A 21988-nucleotide genomic window follows, 5' to 3' on the forward strand; every position below is an offset into this window, starting at 1 on the left:
CCATCCTGTGGAAACAGAGATTCTCTCTAAACTTCCTTGGTAATCTTTATAAATTGTCTGTGTAATCTTCATGGTCACCTTTGGGTTCAAAGACTCAGGACTAATGCACCTTTGATCGACTGGATGCCGCCAGTTGTCTTAAGCAAACAGCCAGATTTCAGGAGAGAATATTTCCAACTGCATTCTTCTATTTCTAAACGTTTATTGTCACTAAACTCTATTTCTTTTTGGGGGGGTGGGGAGTGGTGTCTATTTAGAAGCAATATAGCTTCTTTTTTTTTAAATATAGGCTTTGTTTTTTGTTATTTTATTTTTTGTAGAGAAAGATATTTATTTATTTAATATTTTTTATTTCAGTAGCTTCAGGGGTACAAGTGGTTTTTGGTTACATGGCTGAATTATACAGTGGTGAAGTCTGGGCTTTTAGTGTACCTGTTACCTGAATAGTATACATTGTACCCAACAGGTAGTTTTTCATCCTTCACTTCCCTGTCCCCTCTCCACTTCTGAATCTCTACCACTCCATATGCCTTTTTGGATCCATAGCTTAGCTCCCATTTATAAATGAGAATATGTGGTATTTGGTTTTTTTGTTCCTGAGTTACTTCACTTAGGATAATGGCCTCCAGTTTCATCCAAGTTGCTGCAAAAGACATTATTTTGTTCTTTTTTATGGGTGAGTAGTATTCCGTAGTATATATACCACATTTTCTTTAACCTCTCATCAGTTGATGGGTACTTAGGTTGGTTCCATACCTTTGGTATTGTGAATTGTGCTGAGATAAACATATATGTGTAGGTTTTTTTTTTGATACAACAACTTTTTTTTCCCTTTGGGTAGATACCCAGTAGTGGGTTTGCTGGATTGAACGATAGATCTACCTTTATTTCTTTGAGAAATCTCCATACTGTTTTCTGTGGAAATTATACTAATTTACATCATCCCATCTGCACCAACATTTATTGTTTTTTGACTTTTTAATAATGGCCATTCTGGCTGGGGTAAGGTGATATCTTATTGTGGTTTTAATTTGTATTTCCCTGGTGATTGGTGATGTTGAGCATTTTTCATGTATTTGTTGACCATTTGTATATCTTCTTTTGAGAAATATCTGTTCATGTTATTTTCCCACTTTTTAATGGGAGTACTTGTTTTTTTGCTGCTGATTTGTTTGAATTCCTTGTAAATTCTGGATATTAGTCCTTTGTTGGATGTATAGTTTGCAAATATTTTCTCTCATTCTGTTGGTTGTCTGTTTACTGTGTTGATTATTATTTTTGCTGTGTAAGAGCTTCTGAATTTAATTAGGTCTCATTTATTTATTTTTGTTTTTGTTACATTTGCTCTTGGGGTCATAGTCATAAATTCTTTGCCTAAGCCAGTGTCCAGAAGAGTTTTTCCTAGGTAGTCTTCTAGAATTTTTATGGTTTCAGGTCTTAAATATGTAGACTTTTTTTTAGAGCAGTTTTAGGTTCATAAAAAAAATGAGCAGAAAATAGAGAGTTACCATATACCTACTGCCCCTATACATGCACAGCTTACCCTGCTATCAACATCCTGTACCAGAGTGGTACATTTGTTGTAATTGGTGAACCAACATTGGCACATCATTATCACTCAAAGTCCATAGTTTACATTAGAGTTCACTTTTGTTGTACATTCTATGGGTTTGAACAAATGTATTATGACATATAGTCAACATTATAGTATCATACAGAATAATCACATTGCCCTAAAATCTTCTGTGCTCTAGCTATTTACTTCTCCTTCCCCCATCCCCTGGCAAACACTGATTTTTTACTGTCTCCATAGTTTTGCCTTTTCCAGAATGTCATATAGTTGGAATTATACAATATGGAACCATTCAGGTCGGGCTTTTTTCACTTAATGTGCATTTAAAGTTTTTAAATGTATTTTCAAGGCTTGATAGCTCACTTCTTTTTAGCACTAAATAATATCCCATTCTCTACATTTAGCACAGTTTATTTATTAATTACTGAAGGACATCTTGATTGCTTTCAAGTTTTGGCAATTATGAGTACAGCTGCTATAAACATCCAATTGTAGGTTTTTATGTGGAAATAAAGTTTCAACTTGTTAGAGTAAATACTAACAAGTGCAATAGTTGGATTGTATGGTAAAAGTATGTTTAGTTTTGTAAGAAACTGCCAAACTGTATTCCAAAGTGGTTGTACCATTTTGCATTCCCATCAGCAATGATGAGAGTTCTTGCTTCACATCCTTGCCAGCATTTGTTGTTGTCAGTGTTTTGGGTTATTGCCATTCTTTTTTCTTAATTGAGTTTTTTATTATTATTTTAGATTGACAAATAATAATTGTGTGTATTTTGGGGGCATAATGTAGTATTTTGATCTATGTATACATTATAGAAATATTTAATCTAGCTATTAGCATAATCATTACCAACTTTTTTTGTGGTAAGAACATAAAAAAATTTTAGTGATTTTGAAGTATATATTATTTACTAACCATGTTCACCAATGCATTAGATCACTAAAACTTGTTCCTCCAGTCTAACTGAAACTCTGTGCCCTTTGATCAATGTCTTCCCATTCCCCATCCCTCTTCCTCCCCCAAACCTCTCCACCCCCCAGCCTCTGATAACCATCTTTCTACTCCCTGTTTCTATGAGAACAACATTTTTAGATTTCACATGTAAGTGAGATCATACAGTGTTTGTCTTTCTGTGCCTGGCTTATTTTACTTAGCATAGTGTCTTCCAGTTCTATCCATGTTATCGTGAATGACAGTTTCCTTCTTTTTAAAGGCTGTATGGTATTCATTTGTATATATTCACCACATTTTCTTTATGTATTCATCTGTTGATGGACACTTAGGTTACTTTTATATCTTGGCTATTGTGAATAATGCTGAAATGAATATGGGAGTGCAGATATCTCTTCAACATATTAATTTCAATTCCTTTGGATATATACCCAGAAGTGGGATTGCTGGATCACACGGTAATTCTGTTTTTAGTTTTTGAGGAACCTCCATACTGTTTTCTGGAATGGCTGTACTAACATTCATACCAACAGTGTGCAGATGTTCCCTTTTCTCCACATCCTTGCCAACACTTGTTATCCTTTGTCTTTTTGATAATAGCTGTTCTAACAGAATAGCTAACAGAATATCTAACAGAATAGTGTGAGATGATATCTCATTGCAATTTTATTTTGCATTTCCCTAATAATTAGTGATATTGAGCATTTTTTCACAAACCTATAGGCCATTCGTATGTCTTCTTTTGAGAATGTCTGTTCAGATCCTTCACACATTTTTTGATTGGATAGTTTGTTTTCTTGCTTGAGTTGAGTTCCTTATGTAATTTGGGTATAAATCCTTTATCGCCTTAACAGATGTAAGGTTTGCAAATATTTTCTCCCTTTCTGTGGGTTGTTTCTCACCTGTTGATTGTTTCCCTTGCTGTACAGAAGCTTTTTAGTTTCATATAATCCCATTTTCCATTTTTGCTTTTGTTGCCTGTGCTTATAGAGTCTTATCCAACAAATCATTCCCCAGACCAATGTGGTAGAGCTTTTCCCCTATCTTCTTGTAACTTTACAGTTTTAGGTCTTGTGTTTAAATCTTTAATGCATTTTAAATTGATTTTTGTATATGGTGTGAGATAATGTCCCAATTTCATTTTTCTGCAGAAGGATATCCAGTTTTCCCAATGCCATTTATTGAAGAGACTGTTCTTTCCCCATTGTGTGTACTTGGCACCTTTGTTGAAAATCAGCTGACTGTAAATATTTGGAAAATTTCTAGGCTTCCTATCCTGTCCTATTGATTGGTGTGTCCTATTGATTGGTTATGCCAGTAACATTCTGTTTTGATTACTATAGCTTTATCATCTGTTTTGAAATTAGGAAGTGTGATGCCTCCAACTTTGTTCTTTTTGCTTAAGATTGCTTTGGCTATATGGGGTGTTTACTGTTTCCATATGAATGTTAGGATTTTTTTATTTCTGTGAAAAATGACATCGGAATTTTGAGAGGAATTGCATTGAATCTGTAGATATCATTGGAAAGTATGGACATTTAAACAATATTAATTTTTTGAATCCATGAACTTGGGCTATTTTCTCATTTATTTGTGTCTTCTTCAGTTTCCTTTATCAAAGTTTTATAGTTTTTTTTTTGTTAAAATTTCATCATTCTAACAGGTATGTAATGATGGTATTTCCTTTTAATTTGCAGTTCCCTAATCCCATTATAATGTTGAGCCTCTTTTCATATCATTATTTACCATGTTTCTGTGTATCTTCTTTGGTGAGGTGTCTGTTCAAGTCTTTAGCTCATTTTAAAATTGAGTTCTTTTTTATTATGTTTTAAGAGTTCTTTGTATATTTTGGATGACAGTTCTTTATAAAATATGTCTTTTGAAAACATTTTCTCCCAGTCTGTGACTTGTCCTTTCATTGTCTTGATATGGTGTCTTTCACAGAGCAGAAGCTTTAAATGAAGTTTAACTTATCGATTATTTCTTTCATGGATCATGGCTTTAGTTTGTATCTAAAATCGAGTTAATGTTTATAATAAAAATACTGCTTTGCAAAGAGTATGATAAACTTTTGTATCTTTCTTGGCAAAGAGTATGATAAACTTTTGTACCTTGATGCCTTAAGAGCTAGATCCAGGCTGGGAGAGGTAGCTCATGCCTGTAATTCTAGCACTTTGGGAGGCTGAGGTGGGAGGACTGCTTGAGCTCAGAAGTTCGAGACCAGCCTTGGCAATGTAGGGAGACCTCGTCTCTACGAATAATAAAAAATTAGCCACGCATGATGGTGCATGTCTGTGGTCTCAGCTTCTCAGGAGGCTGAGGTGGGAGAATTGCTTGAGCCTGGGAGGTCAAGGCTGCAGTGAGCCATGATTGCACCACGGACTCCACCCTAGGCAACAAAAAGAGACCCTGTCTCAAAAAAAGAAAAAGTGCTAGATGCAATAACTGTTAGACATATTCATAAATGATGTTCTTTTATAGCTGTATAATGCACTAAGGATAATTGGAGTTATTTAGAGTATGTACTGAATCTGGAAAAATAATACATTAGTGAGTAAAACCTTTTTCAACAAAATTCTCTTCGGTAGCACTATTTGAGAAAGAATATCAATCTAAAATGAATGATTGACCCAGAATGTCATATTTAATATGTATGTGCAAAGAGGACATGCTTGATTGTGGCTCTTATATTCCCCAGGCAGAGGAAAATATTGACTTATTAGATGATGGCTCTAATTCTTTTGCAACTGACTTGTCATCAGGAACTATTAACCACAAGAAATACATCAAGTTTTCTAAAACAATAGAGAAGGAAATTTCACCGGAAATTAGGAGTTTGAGCCCAGAATATAAAAAAATGTAAGTTAAAAACTCTGAACTTACTTTATTGAATTATACTTTTGCAAGTTAAGAATGCCAAAATGTAGCTGTGGCTTATGCGTTCTCATAATGTACCATGTGTATAGGATCATGCATATTTGTGGTCATTCTTTCAGTAGCATAATTTTAACTCCTAAATAGCTGTTCTTACATTTTTTCTGACTTCTCTCACAGCCATCTATAGGCTTCCATGTTGTCTAAGTTGGTTCTCACATTGTTATAAAGAACTACTTGAGACTACGTAATTTATAAATAAAAGAGGTTTAATTGCTCATGGTTCTGCAGACTTTACAGGAAGCGAGGCTGGGGAAGCCTCAGGAAACTTAGAATCATGGTGGAAGGGGAAGGGGGAGCAAGCATATCTTCACAAGGCCAGCAGGAGGGAGAGTGAAGAGGGAAGTGCCACATACTTTTAAACAAACAGATCTCATGAGAACTCACTCAGTATCATGAGAACAACAAGTGGGAAATCTGCCCCCATGATCCAATCACTTCCTACCAGGTCTCTCCCCCAATATTGGGGATTACAATTCAACATGAGATTTAGGTAGGGACACAGAGTCAAACTATATCACATGTGGAAGCCTATAAGTAAGCTATAAGCTAACTGGAATCATAGGATTCTAGTTAGAGGAGAACAGTTATCCATATGTCTGTTAAGTTTGTCTTAAAGAGAATTTAAGAAGGAAACAGAAGGTTCTTTCCTCTAGGCTTGGCTTTGTGTCTTCCATGAAATTAAGATATTTGAATAGTTTTTTTTTTTTTTTGAGATGGAGCCTCACTCTGTCACCCAGGCTGGAGTGCAGTGGCGCAGCCATGGCTCACTGCAACCTCCACCTCCTGGGTTCAAGTGATTCTTCTGCCTCAGCCTCCTGAGTAGCTGGGACTACAGGCGTGCGCCGTCACACTCGGCTATTTTTTTTTTTTTTTTTGAAATGGAGTCTCGCTGTGTTGCCCAGGCTGGAGTGTAGTGGCACGATCTTGGCTCACTGCAAGCTGCGCCTCCTGGGTTCAAGCCATTCTCCTGCCTCAGCCTCCCAAGTAGCTGGGATTATAGGCGACCACCACCATGCATGGCTAATTTTTTGTATTTTTAGTAGAGATGGGGTTTCACCATGTTAGCCATGATGGTCTCGATCTCCTGACCTCATGATCCGCCTGCTTCTGCCTCCCAAAGTGCTGGGATTATAGGCGTGAGCCACCGCACCTGGCCAATTTTTTTTTTTTTTTTTTTTGTATTTTTAGTAGAGACGGGATTTCACCATATTGGCTAGGCTGGTCTTGAACTCCTGACCTCATGATCTGCCCGCCTGAGCCTCCCAAAGTGCTGGGATTACAAGCGTGAGCCACTGCACCCGACCAAGCTATTTGAATCTTTTAGCAGTTCTTTCTTGTATACTGCATTGCCTGGTTGCCTTTTGTTAGTCGTAGAAGTTCTAGCATTTTAAATGCATGTAGGAGAAATACTCAATCTGTATTTATTATTTATAAAATGACTAAAAAATAAAAAAAAATCTAAAAGCCTCTGGGAAAACATTCAGAGCTTATGTCACTTTATCTTTAACTAAATGCTCATCTTACCTGTTGGTGAAACTGGAAATTACCTACACATTGTGATTGGAGAGGCACCTAAATAAAAATCTCCTCTACCTTCCAGAAATCTGTATTTCACTTTTATTTAATCTAACATTTTCACCACTACTCCTGTTTGTTAGATGGCAAAAGATGAAGCAATTATTTCTAGAAGACTACAATAAAACTTGTTACCTAGGAAGAAAAGGAAGGTCGTGGGAGGTTAGGAAGAAAAGGAAGGTCGTGGGAGCATCCCTTTACCTTCTTCCATTAGCTTTCTTCAAGATAGGTTAGCACTGTGGGAAGCACATGCCTCAAAAGAATGGGGTACAGTGCATGTTTTCCCTTGTAAGTGGGAGCTAAACAATTCATACACATGGACATACAGAGTAGAATAATAGACATTGGGACTACAAATGTAGGAGGAGGGGTGAGGGTTGAATTTGGTGATGGGTACACTGAAAGCCTAAACTCACCACAATGCCTATGTGCATGTAAGAAATCTGCACTTGTACCCTCTAAATATATAAAAATAAAAAAAATTTAAAAATGGGGTACAGGACAAATGTTTTTACTTATTCATTATTTATACCAAATCATCCTTATTCTATGAAATGTGTGAAGTAGCTCATAATTAAAAAATACACTTTTGTTTACCTAAATAAGGAAACTGAGGCAAAATTAATATAAGTAGAGAGTTTGTTTAGGCCCAGGTTGAGGACTGCAGCCTGGGAAACACTGGGAGGTACTCTGAAGAACAAAGGAGAGGTTCAATATTTTAAAGAAAAAAGGAACCAATCAGGAGATGGGTTGATTACAAAAGTTGTTTTTCAGGAATTCTTACTGGCTTACAGAAATAACATTGATTAGTGATTGGCTATATATTGCTGAACTGTAGCGTATGAGTTATAGTATCCAGTGTATGGCATTGTTAGGTTAATTTGTGGCTACTTGGTGACAGTCTAGAGTCCACATAGCAGGCAACTTTGAAATAATTGCTTAGCTCAAGGGGATGTGAGACAGTGACTCCTATCTCATTTTAATGCCTCTTTGGGCCTGATAATTTAAAGAGGTCTTGCATTCATCAGATTAAAAATTTATTTTCTTTATCATTTTTTGAAAAAAGATGAAAGATCAAAAGTCATGTAATGGAGTGGAAGTCATGATTATATTAGAAATAAGAAGGCTCAACTTCAATAAGGATATATGGGGGATATAAAGCACCAGTAAACTGCAGGTTGTGACTCATTAATGGGTAATGGGTCATGAAATCAGGTTAGGAGGTCACTACTAGTTTTTTTTTTTTTTTTTCTTTCTTGAGTCAGGAGTTTACTCTACCACCCTGGCTGGAGTGCAGTGGCATGATCGTAGCTCATCGCAGCCTGGAACTCCTGGGCTTAAGGGATTCTCCTACCTCAGACTCCTGAGTAGCTAGGATTGCAGGTGTGCACCACCACGCCTGGCTAATTTTTAAATTTTTTGGAGAGGTGAGGTCTCACTATATTGCCCAGGCTGGTCTTGAACTCCTGGCCTGAAGCAGTCCTGCCACTTTGGCCTCCCAAAGTGCTGGGATTACAGGTGAGAGCCACTGCAGCTGGTTTACTACTAGTTTTTTTTTTTAAATAAATAAGTTAGAATAGAATTGAAAACATTAGAGTGCTTTTTCCTCCTCCTCTCTCTCCCTTGCTTTCTATTGCACCTCTTATCTCTGTATATGTATATTGTACCTCAATAGAAAATTTACTTTTGACTGTGGGTCATAGGCAAAATAGTTGAAAGTCCTTGCTTTGAGACTAGAGGACTGCAGAGGGATCTAATCATATGGCAGCTTCAGGGAAGTGAAGAGCAAAGTATGGGGGTTCACAGGGTATGAATTTGGGAGATTGGATTTAAAGGGATAGTGTGTCAAAAAAGCAAGATACTTTTTCTTGGAGAAATAAGTCAGTAAAAAAGAGCAGGGTACACCATAAATACATACAATTTTATTTGTCAATTAAAAATAAATTTAAGAAACAATAAATATATATAATTTTGTCTATCAATTTAAAATAAAATAAATAAATAAAATTGGAAAAAAAGGCCAAGGTACTTGCTAAAGAAAGGGAGTGGCATGAATTATAATATATTTTTTTATGTCACAGTTTTGCTTAGGGCTGAGTTCACCTGAAGCTGTTGTAGATATAATCTAGTTAGTCACTGTCCTGATGGGTTGTTCTTGAAATTTAAGTCTACCCTAGATTACTTGAAGCACTTTCTAAGAGTATGTGTCTTCTCTTCTAAAATTTAATTCAAATGTAATTCATAATTACATTTTATCTTATTGTTGTGTAGTTTATGGCAGTGGTCTCCAGACTTTTTGGCACTAGGGACCAGTTTAATGGGAGATAATTTTTCCATGGACGAGGGGATGGGGAGGAGGCAGGGGTGGTTTCTGGATGAAACTGTTCCACCTCAGAAGATCATCAGGCATTAGTTTCTCATAAGGAGGCAAAACCTAGATCCCTTGCATGCACAGTTCACAATAGGATTTGTGTCCCTATGAGAATCTAATGCCGCTGCTGATCTGACAGGAGGTGGAGCTCAGGTGGTAATGCTTACTCGCCAGCCACTTACCTCCTACTGTGCAGACGAGTTTTGGTTCATGGGCCAGAGTTTGGGGACCCCTGGTTTGTGGAATGTTTATGTTATGAAAGGTCTTGAGATCGTACCACTGTGCTTTTAGCCTGGGCAACAGAGTGAGACTCCATCTCAAAAAAAAAAAAAAAAGGTTTTTGACAGTCCAATAAGAAGAGGAAAAAGGAGAAATAAGAGAAAACCAAACAATAAGAAAGAAGAATGTTGATTAAAAAGAAGTTCAGCTTCTAGTGCCCAAACTTTAATCTTGAAATACCATTTCTTATTAAAAGGCTGTTTAGAGAAATGCTGATTGCATGTCTGTGAAAGGAAATGTAAAGTAAGCCTGGAACATCTTGTCTTCCGGAGATAAGGAAACTATTAATAAAAAAGACTACTATCAGGGATTCATCAGAAGGACTCAAGAGCCTACTGGAAGAGTCTCCCACCTTTTCCTATAAAAGATGAGAAAATTAGAGCATCAATAAGTATAATAATTTCAGGGAATTAAACTGCATCAAATATATTTAAGTCTATGCGTTCAAAATGGTATAAAATTATTTTGTCATTTTTAGAGGTTATAAGTGAGCCAAGTCTTTGTTATGAAAAGTGGTAAATAAAGGAAAACAATAGAGCAATTATCTTACCTTTCTTTCTTTCTTGTTCTTTTTTTTTTTTAAAGTCAGTTGAATCTGTCTATATCTTGCCTTTCTATATGAACTGGTACCACTAGGCAACCCAATAGTACATGAGAGAAAGTGTCTATTTGTAGAAATATTCTAGCAGCCAGGCATTGTGGTGTGTGCCTATAATTCAGTACTCAGGAGGCTGAGGTGGGGCAATCACTTGAGCCTGGGAGTTTGAAACTGTAGTGTCTATTATAATCACACCTGTGAATAGTCACTGTACTCCAGTCTGGGCAACTTAGCAAGATTCCATCTCTACACATACAAAAAAAGAAATATTCTAGCTAATGATTGAAGGAATGATAGATTTATAATATAACCACTTTGCAGTCTCTCATGATTTTTTATTTTTATTTTTATTTATTTATTTTTGAGACAGAGTCTTGCCCTGTCACCCAGGCTGGAGTGCAGTGATGCGATCTTGGCTCGCAACCTCTGCCTCCCAGGTTCAAGCAATTCTCCTGCCTCAGCCTCCTGAGTAGCTGGAACTACAGGCGTGCACCACCACACCTGGCTAATTTTTTTTTTTTTTTTTTTTTTTTTTTTTAGTAGAGACGGGGTTTCATCATATTGTCCAGGCTAGTCCCGAACTCCCAACCTCAGGTGATTTGCCCACCTTGGCTTCCCAAAGTGCTGTGATTACAGGCATGAGCTACCATACCCAGCCAGTCTCTCATGATTTACTGGATCTATTATGTATAAGTAGCTGCTAATACCACAAATAGCCAATTGGACATTATGTGCTTCCTGATGGAATAACGTCACCACCTAGAGAGTGGTTTTGCATCTCCCTCAACTATTGAATGTTAATATGTTCAAGCCTCTAGAATCCTACAACCGTGGTGATACAATCAGGAAAATCCTGACTGTGGAAAATCTACAGGATGAATGACCTAGTAATAATAATTATAATGATAATAAAAGGTATAGAAGGAGAACTTATAGATGAAAAGAAGTTAAAAAGACATTTCAGTCAATTATGATGCTGGGATTTTATTGAGTCCTGATGCAAAATGTTAAAAAATTTTATGACATTTACGAGACAACTGGAAATGTGAATGGTGCCTGTATATTTGATGATATTAAGAAATTGTTAATTTTTAGCTGTCATATGGTGTTTTTTGTTTTGTTTTGTTTTTGAGATGGAGTCTTGCTGTGTCACCCAGGCTGGAGTGCAGTGGCTCAATCTCAGCTCACTTCCCAGGTTCAAGCGATTTTATGCCTCAGCCTCCTGAGTAGCTGGGACTACAGGCATGTGTCACAACGTCTGTCTATTTTTTTGGTATTTTTAGTAGAGATGGGGTTTTTCACCATGTTTGCCAGGCTCGTCTTGAACTTCTGACCTCAAGCAATCTGCCCACCTTGGCCTCCCAAAGTTCTGGGATTACAGGTGTGCACCTCCGTACCCAGCCCAATCTCTACAAAAAAAGACACCTTGTAGAGATTTCTATTAAAATCTTTACAGATGGAAATAATATACTGTGATTTATTTCAAAAATAATAAGGGATGGGAACAGGGATGGGATATAGATGGAATAGGATTGACCACTGTTGAAACTGGGTGATGGGATTCTGTATACTTTTGTATATGTTAGAAAATTTCCATAATTAAAAGTTGAAAAGAATAAGTAAAAAGAAATTCAAGAATGATTCCAATTTCTGTGTCATTTAGATTTGAAACATCAATAATCTTTTGTGGAGAAGAAAAGTCCTCTGATTTTTCAGGAGAAAAAAAAGTTGGGAGAAAGAGTTTACAAGTACAACAGCACAGTAAAAGAACTGAGGTAAATAAAGATTTGGAAATTTTTCTTTTACCTTCAAATATTTTCCTTAGCCCTCAAACATTCCCTTAAATTTTTTAGTCCAAGTGTTGAAATGTCACAGTCTTAAATATCACTACCTGGTCTTGCTTCTCCTCTTCTGTTCTTAATTCTCCTTTTTCTTCTCCTTAAAAAAAAAATAGAACAAGGAATCTTTTCAGGAATTTATGAAAAATTTGTGTTTTTTCCCTATTAAACTTATTTTTTGTCTTTTTTACTGTGCTCTCTGCTAACATTTTTGCTTTTTTAACAGGAACCCTAGGTGTTCTTTGGTTTGTGGCAGCATAACTCCAATCTCTGCCTCCATCTTCCCATGAGTCTTCACATGGCCTCTTTTCCTGTGTCTGTATCTCATCTCCTTCCTTTCTCTTACAAGCACGTCTGTCATTGTATATTTCATTTCAAGATCTTAACTTGATTACATCTGCAAATACATTTTCTCCAAATAAGGTGACATTCACAGGTTTCAGATATTAGAACATGGAATATCTTTTTGTGTAGTCACTCACTATGATATACTTAGAGGTATATATCCTTTTTTCCCCTCTGTCTTAGTATTTGCTGTGCTTCTTAAATCTGAGAATGCATGCCTTTCTTCAATTCTGGAAAATTCTAATATGTTATCTTTTAGATATTTCCCCTCTTTCAATCTCTTTACTGTCCCTTTGTATCTTCTGTTAGATGTGTATTAGATTTTGTCATCCTGTTTTCTATATTCTTTAATATTGCTTCATATTTTTTGTCTATTCTGTCTCTCTATTTTGTTCTTTGTAATTTCTCCCCATCTACTTTCTAGTTCACTTATTCTTTATCTAGCTGAATCTAATCTACAGTTTAACCTTTCCTCTGAGATTTTAATTTCAGTGATTCTATTTTTTACCTCCAGAAATTTTATTTGATGGTTCTTAAAATATGCCCTGTGTCATGTTTTTTGCTCATATTCTATAGTTATTTCAAGATTGGTATCTGATCAATTCACTGTATGAAATTCTTGGGGGATCTAAATGTTGTGTTTGTTGTTTTGTCTGATTCTCACTCATGTTAACTTGTTCTTTGGGTGTTATATATATTTTGTACATTCTTTCATATATAGTTGATCTAAATCTGTGGGAATCTTCAGTTTGCCCTTCTTCAAGAGAATTTTTAAAAAGAAAATTTGCTTTTGTCTTTGCCATGCACTTCAGAAGTGTTACAAATCTGAGGTCATTTTAAATGAATTTTTTGGTTTCTGTTTCCCTGGCCCATATATTTAGTGTAGATTTGAGTTCCAAACTCATGTATGTAGAGTTATGATTATGACTAATCAGGAGGAATAGTCTTTCTTTTTTTCTAACCTGGAGCTGGGATAGAGACATGTTTTAATCATACTTTTTCACTGGGGAATAAGTTTTTTCCTTCCCCACTCTTGCTGAAAACATTGTCTTTTGAAGATTTTGGTTCCGTATGGCATCTCAGTACCAATTCCTGTCAATCTTGTGTAACGTGAGAGTCTTTTTTCCACATCTTGCATGGTCATTAAAACTCAATGCTCAGGGTTCCATGTAAAAGTGAAGACACCTGTAATTAGAATTCTTATTTTTCTAAAGTGCTACTTTCCTATCCACCTAGTGCTTGCCTTTTTGGAATCATGTTTATACATGCAATCTTAAGTGGATAATTTACTCAATGATAGGGATAATCGAAAACAAAATTACCTGTATCATTTGAATAACTGTGTTGATTCTCCACATTGCACTTAAGTCAAAGCCTTTATATGTAGCCTAGAGTCTGGTGGCTGAGTCTTCTTGTTCTCTCTATACCATAGGTTTTCCCTGCTTTGTAAAACCCATTACTATATAGTTACCAAGTATTAATGACATGATTAACTGCATACTTAAGAAAACCATGGCTTTGCAAGAGAACATTGCATAGTTTATTAAAATTTTAGTTTATATTAAATGTAATTTAATTACAAAAGGCAATTTTACACCAGAAGCATAATTAATGAGGAGCCAAGGTATGATTAATTATCTTTTAAGAGTTGTATCATCCAAGAATGCTGAATTACCAGTGTCACTCACCTCAGGCACCAACATACTTGCATTTGGCTCTAGATTATCCCTCCTTTTCTGAAGCTGTCAAAGGAGAAGGTGACAAGGAAAGAAAACTCTTTATGCAAGTTGCCGAATCAGTACAGCGTTCACAAGACTTCATCACCTCTTTGTACATCTTCTGCAATTACTCGGTATTTAAATCCTTGTACTCTATTTTTTAAATGTTGGGTTCAGACTTGGGTGTTTCTCTCCAGAATCATTTATCCCTTCCACATAAAGAATATGAAGTAGTTTATGCTAATTATGCTGTTAGGATTGTGTAGAGATAAGAGCACTGTATATGGAATTGGAAGACTTAGATTTGAGTCCGATTGACCTAACATGCTTAGACTTTTGTAAAATTTACATCTCTGGGCATCACTTTCCACATCTGTATAAGGATCTTGTACTAAATGAACTCTTAAGATGTCTTCCAACACTAACATTATATGATTTCAGCAATTTACATGTTATAGTATTAGATAAATCATCTTTTCCAGACATTTTTCCTGATAGGTGATGGAATCTGAGATTCTTTGGCTGTTTAAAGATGTTCTTGTTTGCTTTATTATAATAACTTTCTTAAAAATTTGCTGTGACTTGGATTAAGAATAGGAAAAATTGGACCACAGTCGAAGGATAGTAGGTCATGGGCACTATTTGCAGACTAGGGTGAATTCTGCTTTATAGAAAAATATCTCGAAAAGAAATAAGGTGAGACTTCTGAAGTGAAGAATATGGAATTTTCCATAACTTGGACAGTTCTTCAAGAAAGGTTCTTATGAATCTCAGACTATTGGTAAGTTTGCTAATATTTTAAAATGGAATTTGCATATTTTCATTGCCACTTTCTAATATGGCTGTTTCTTTGACAGGGAAAAGGAAATGCTGTCTAACCTCTACATGACATTATATGATGAAGTAACCCATGGATATTTACACTCAAAAGAATTAAGTGGTAATAAGAGGTTCTAAAATTTCTTGAATACATTTCCTGGTTATGTGCTTTTTAGGAATTGTTTCAGCAGTTAGTGCCTCTTCATCTACTCCTAATGGCTTATGGTATCAACTGATAATACATGGTATGGCAAATGCTGCGGGCTGTGAGGAAGCAAAAGTAGATAGTTTAATCCATAAATATCTTTGGTTGTATTGGTAAGATAGGGAAAATATAATATGTAGCTTATACTAGTTCAAATGTATTTTTTGGAAAAATGTCTGCATATTACATCCCATGGATAAATTAGTAAGTGCTGGAGTCACTGATATCACTGGAATTTAGTCTTTGGTATCTTAGTATTAAGGCTTATACTACCCTTCACTCCTTCATGACACTGACCTCTCCCGTATCTTGGGTTTCTCCTTTATACTTATGGAATAATTTCACATAGTTTTCCTTTTACCTTAACTCTGGTTGTCATATTGTGTATCTTAGTGTCCAAATGGGTGACTCATACTTCTGGAGCTTCACACGTTCAAAACCAATAATTTTACCTTGATTCTCCTGACCAACACTGATGGCCACAAATTACACATTGTCATTATGTGAAAATCTCAGACGTCAACGTCTTATTCTTCACTCACAATCTCTTATACTTCCAGCTCTTTTTATTTAGAATTTTATTTCCTTGACCTCTCCATTTGGTGCCACTATGATTGTATGATTTCCAACCTCAGCTGCCCTTAGCACCAGTTGGTATTCCCTTTAAGTTTTGGTGTGATCTCTCCTGTTTCCTTTGGTATCTATTCCAAACCTTCACTACTCTCCTCAAATACTCAATTATGTCACCTATCCAACTTTAAACATTTAAAAATGTTTTACTTAATTAAAATAAAATTAAAACTTGCTAGTCTGAAATCTATGAAACTGAATCTTTTCTCCCCTATTTCTTTTGAAAAAAATTTTATTGTGGTAAAAATATTTAACATGAGATCTACCCTCTTAACAGATTTTAAAAATGTAAGTTATTCTTATCTATAGGCACAATATTGTACAGTATTTCTATAGAACTTATTCATCTTGTGTAACTGAAATTTTATACTCACTGATTAGCAACTCACTATTTCCTCATACCCCCTGCTCCAGGCAACTACAATTCTATTCTTTGTTCCATAAGTTTGACTATTTTAGATGCTTTATATAATTGGAATTCTGTAGTATTTGTCCTTCTGTAACTGGCTTATTTCACTTAGCATAATGTCCTTCATATTCATTCATGTTATTACATATTACAGGATTTTCTTCTTTTTAAAGGCTGATTGATATTCTGTCATATGTATATAACGTACTTTACCCCCCCCCCCATTTATCTGACATTTAGGTTGTTTCCACAGATATTTAGATTGTTTTCCATAGGTTGGCTATTGTGAATAGTACTGCAGTGAACAGGGGAGTACTACTGTCTCTTCAAAATCCTGGTTTTAATTCTTTTGGATAAATACCCAGAAGTGGGATTACTGGATCATGTGGCTTTGCTTTTTCATAGAGAGTTAGTAAGGGCTGTTGGGAAGCTTCCTAAACTCCTTGATATTCTTACCTACAAACAACATTCATATCCTTTCATCTTGTCTCATTGGAAAAGGTGCCCTTTCACCAGACTAATCCTTTCATTTCTTGATTTTCTTCTGCTTTCTCAAGGCCTATGCTTTGCTAATTTTATACTCAATATTTTTTCAGAGAAGCCTTTTGAAGGAGTTGTTTTCATTAGTTGCTGAATTTTCTCACTTCCCATTTCATGGAAATCTGGCTTCCACCTCCAAAATTCTACTAAAACTTATTTTATTAAAGCCATTATTATCAACTCTTTAGTCATTATTTTGTATTTATCACTGTTAGGGCTAGGTGAGGTGGCTCATGCCTGTATTCCCAGCACTGCGGAAGGCCAATGTGGGAGGATCATTTGAGACTAGGAGTTCAAGACCAGCCTGGGCAATATAGTGAGATCCCATCTCTACAAAAAATAACAAAAACAAAAAATTAGTTGGGCATGTTGGCACACAGCTGTAGTCCTAGCTACTGGAGAGGCTGAGGTAGGAGGATTGTTTAAGCCCAGGATTTCGCGACAGGAGTTTGAGACTGCAGTGAGCCATGATTGCACTACTGCATTCCAGCCTGAGCAACAGAGAAACTCTGGCTCTAAAAAGACAAACAAAAATAGCACTATCATCAATTGCCTCTTTTCTGAAAATAAAGTGTAGTATCCACTGAACCAAAAAATTCAGTTCAATAGACATTTTTTTGAGAATTTCTTAATTAGGCACTAGAAACAGAAGAATGAAAAAATCTTGCTCCATAGAAGCTGACAGTTTAGTGAGGGATATTGACATGCAAGCAATCATAATACCAAGGGCTTTCACTGAGATACATAGTAAGTGCTATGGGAACACAGAGGAAAAATTTACCATTCCTAGGGCAAGTTGTGGAAGCCTTTGCCTATGTGCCCTTGTGTGACTTGTCTGACAGTTTCTGAAAGTTCTTTAGGAAACAGGTTGAAAGATTTGAATATTAAAAGATTGAAGAGGGTGGGGTAAAAAAGAAACAAGTTTGAAAGGCTGAAAACACAGATTGGCTCCCTTTTTAGTGATTATTATTTTTTTGAGAGTGGGGGGAATAAGGATAATTATTCTTTTTGATTAACTAACTAAATGTTTTGTTATGTGTGTGCAGCACTTCATAAAGCCTGTAAAATTTTTAGTAAAATTCGAAGTGGTAAGATTTATGTGAATGATCTTCCAGTGATCCTTTGCATCTTGAGAATTTCTATAAGTGATTTAGAAATGCGACAGGCACTAAAGACTGTTGATATTGATGGTAAGTTTTATCTTTTCAGTATTAGTTTAAGGGTCTGCAATCATAAATATGTTTGTCAGATTAATTACAAATGATAGGAAAGCTAAACCTTAAAATATATTGTAAAAACATCATTTTTGGTCATATTGTATGTTACAAAACATTTTTACATGTTACAAGAACATTACTTACAATAATGATATTGAAAATTGGCCTCAGGTTTATGTAATTGGATTGATTAATTACTAGACTGGATTATGGCATATTCTCATTATTGTTCCACGCATGGTCTAATCTTATTTAGTTACGTAATTTAAATAATGTAATAAATACTTGACCCAACCACCCAAAATAAAAAGTAGGACCTTGTCAATAATTTACATCCAACTGTAAACTTTCCTAAGCAACCTATTATTCTGTTTTCCCCAACCTGAGGTAAGAATTACCTTGAATCCTATATTCATTATTCTCTTATTTTTCTGTTTAAATAGTATTATTGTTATGGATAGGTATTTTTGTAAAATAGTTCAAAAATTTTAGTTGTTTAAAAAACTTTAGTAAACAGTTTTTCATTATGTATATAATCTTTTGTTTTTTTCCCTTAATATTATATGACTAAGATTTATTCATATTGTTGTATACTGCTTTTTTTGTATGCTCTTGCTCTTGCCACCCTTGAATTGATCGCCTTTAAAAATTATGGTTGTTCTAATAGATATACGGTTATTATCTGATTGTGGTTTTAATTTGCATTTCCTGAATGATTAAATAATGTTGAATATCTTTTCATGTGCTTGTTTGCCATTTGTATATTTTTTGCCCATTGAAAAATTGTGTTCTTATTGTATTTTGAGATTCTTTATATATTCTGAATATAAGTCCTTTATTGGATATGTGATTCGTAGATATTTTATTCCATTCTGTTGCTTGTCTTTTTATTCTCTTAAGAATGTTTTTAGAAAAGGAAAAATTCATACTTTTGATGAAGTCCAGTCTGCAATTTTTTCTTTCATGAATTGCTTTTGATATCTTATCTAAAAGATCTTTGCCAACCCAAAGTCACAACAATATCAGAAAACAAGTCAAAGTAGTTCATTAAAATTTGGACAGATGTTTCACTGTTTTTGAAAGAAAGGAGAACCCACTCTCAAGTTGTTACACTGAAGAAGTGGAGACAGACAACTTGATAGACTTTTCAGTATTGGAGAAAGTGCTTCTGTGGTATGGAAGTGAGAACAACCAAGCCTTGTCATTTCCTCTGCAGACAATTGGAAGCACTGAAGTATTCCTCTATAGGCTATTTCTGCTCAGATGACATTAAATTGAAATATAGATTTATACTTGTTTTCTTCGTGACATAGATAACATCACTGATGTAAATAAACCCTGTCAAAGTTGGGCTCGTTTATTTAATGACAGGAGAAGATGAATTCATAGTTATTTAACTTGAAGAATCTTGAAGAACTACAAATATAAAAATTAGTCTTGAGCAAAGAGCACTGCAGTATCTACAGTACTAGTCCCATAGCATTCTTATTACTGCTGGAACACTATTTACTACCTAATTACAATATGTAAATTTTTTTCTGGTAAATATTCTTTTTACATTCTATATATAATGTCGACTGCTCTGTGTATAGATAATAGTATTCTAATGTCATTAGTTAATTCTATTTACATTTTTAGTTGCCACTTTTATCTTATGTTCTTAGTGAGTTTGCTAATAATGTTTGCTGATGGAGTTTTTTTCACTTCTGTTTTGGAACCATTTTTATAGTTAATGGAATGCTGGATTTTTCAAATTTCCTTAAAGCTGTGGCTGATGTTTCTTTTTTTTTTTTTTTTTTTTTTTTTTGAGACGGAGTCTCGCTCTGTCGCCCAGGCTGGACTGCGGACTGCAGTGGCGCAATCTCGGCTCACTGCAAGCTCCGCTTCCCGGGTTCACGCCATTCTCCTGCCTCAGCCTCCCGAGTAGCTGGGACTACAGGTGCCCGCCACCGCGCCTGGCTAATTTTTTGTATTTTTAGTAGAGACGGGGTTTCACCTTGTTAGCCAGGATGGTCTCGATCTCTTGACCTCATGATCCACCCGCCTCGGCCTCCCAAAGTGCTGGGATTACAGGTGTGAGCCACCGTGCCCGGCCTGATGTTTCTTATTTGGTCTCTCAGAATCCAGGTAAAAAAGACTTCTTCAAAAGTATAGAAGATAATACTTTTGTAACTGATTTTGGGGTTGGGAGGGGTGGTATTTTATATATGAATTAATTTATATTTTACAAATCTCCCACTAGTGTGGGCTGAGAAAAATGAGGAGTGAATTTTGTCATAAAAGGCATTACAAAACCTGGATTATACTGCCCCAATATTCAAACATTCTATCTCTGATCTCTAGTTTTCCTGCACATTAACTGCTAGACTAATTCTCTTAAAATACTATTTTCACCATGTCATTTTCCTGCTCAAGAATTTAGATGCTCTTCCTATTATCAAATGAATCTATAGAGGCCAAACTCTCATGCTTAGCCTCCTCACCCCTTCATAATTTTGTTCACCACTCTTACCTTTATCACAGAACCTTTCCCAGGCAAGAACCACATACTCGTTAGTCATAAATCTCCATACATGCCAATATAATTATTACTCCCACGCCTTTGTTTGTGTGTGTGTGTGTGTTTTTTTTTCTGTTGAAATCTCTCATCTGTTTTCTTCTTCATCCTTAACAGTACTTTCTTCCTTTTGCCAGGAGTCTTGTTTGTATCTCTTCCTAAAAATTTCAGATACTTATGGGTCTCCTAGTAACCTTTAGTTTACATTACCTATACATTATAAATAAAGTGGTTGGAAAGGGTATTCGTATTAATGGTAGAAACAGTACCTCCAAAAACATGAAATCTGTGGTGTTCATGACCTGATGTTAGCAATTCTTCTCTTCCTCCATTAGGCGATATCAAGTTCTTATGCTCGGTCCTTGGAATTATATAATTTTATTTTTTATTTGTATAAATTTAAGGGGTGCAAATGCAGTTTTGTTACAAGATATATTGCATCCTGGTAAAGTCTGGCTTTTAGTGTAACCATTATTCGAATAGTTATATATTTTACTTATTAAGTAATTTTTCATCCTTCACCCCCTTCCCACACTTCCAAGTCTCCAGTAACTATTATTTCATGCTCTATGTCCATGTGTACACATTTGGCTCCCACCTATAAATTTGGCTCCTACCTATAAATGGCTTTCATTATCTTAAGTGAAACAAGTCAGAAACAGAAAGTCAGATAGTTAATAGTTTCATCCATGTTGCTGTAAAATATGTTATTTCATTCTTTTCTGTGGCTGACTAGTATTCCACTGTGTGTGTGTGTGTGTGTGTGTGTGCGCGCGCGCGCGCGCGCGCGCGCCACGTTTTCTTTATCCAGTCATCCATTGATGGACACTTAGGTTGATTTTATGTCTTTGCTATTGTGGATTGTGCTGTGATAAACATATGAGTGTAGGTATCTTTTTGAGATAATGGTTTCTTTTCCTTTGGGCATATATACCTAGTAGTGGAATTGTTGGATCATACAGTAGTTCTATTTTTAGTTCTTTGAGAAATCTCCACACTGCTTTCCATTTTTTCATAATGCTCGTTTGGCCATTTATATATCTTCTTTTGAAAAATGTCTATTCATGTCATTTGCCCACTTTTTAACAGGATTATTTGTTGCTTTTGTTGTCTTTGATCTGTTTGAGTTCTTGGTACATTCTGGATATCAGTCCTTGTTGGATGCATAGTTTGCAAATATTTTCTCCTATTCTTCAAGTTGTCTGTTCATTCTGTTGATTATTTCTTTTGCTGTGCAGAAGCTTTTTAGTTTAGTTGTCTCATTTGTCTTTTTTTGTTGTTGTTGCTTGTGCTTTCGAGTTCTTAGTCATGAATTCTTTGCCTAGACCAATGTCAGTAAGAGTTTTCCTTGGGTTTTCATGTAGTTTTTTTTTTTTTTTTTTTTTAGATGGAGTCTCGCTCTGTTGTCCAGGCTGGAGTGCAG

At 35.5% G+C, this 21988-nt stretch overlaps 1 protein-coding gene across 11 annotated transcripts in view, besides 1 other annotated feature; it reads left to right on the forward strand.

Annotated features, from left to right (window-relative positions):
* The window catches only part of EFCAB13 (EF-hand calcium binding domain 13), a 117358-nt gene that overhangs the window by 6016 nt on the left and 89354 nt on the right, over window positions 1-21988 (forward strand). For 5 of the 11 annotated variants that reach the window (NM_001426586.1, NM_001195192.2, NM_001426588.1 and 2 more), the window contains exons 5-8: window positions 5226-5386; window positions 11951-12062; window positions 14192-14322; window positions 15046-15128. In NM_001426586.1, coding sequence (NP_001413515.1) covers window positions 5226-5386; window positions 11951-12062; window positions 14192-14322; window positions 15046-15128 — 487 coding nt within the window. Of the gene's footprint in view, window positions 1-5225; window positions 5387-11950; window positions 12063-14191; window positions 14323-15045; window positions 19359-21988 lie in introns of those variants that run through there. The other 6 variants (NM_152347.5, NM_001426587.1, NM_001426585.1 and 3 more) reach the window with 2 other exon arrangements.
* Window positions 9317-9818: an enhancer, noted in NCBI's record as "OCT4-NANOG hESC enhancer chr17:45416653-45417154 (GRCh37/hg19 assembly coordinates)". NCBI's record gives its function as "activates a minimal SCP1, AML or CMV promoter by ChIP-STARR-seq in primed H9 embryonic stem cells {active_cell/tissue: H9 hESC(primed)}" and the evidence as "EXISTENCE:reporter gene assay evidence [ECO:0000049][PMID:30033119]".

The sequence above is a fragment of the Homo sapiens genome, chromosome 17 (genome assembly GCF_000001405.40).
Source record: "Homo sapiens chromosome 17, GRCh38.p14 Primary Assembly".
Lineage (NCBI taxonomy): Eukaryota > Metazoa > Chordata > Mammalia > Primates > Hominidae > Homo > Homo sapiens.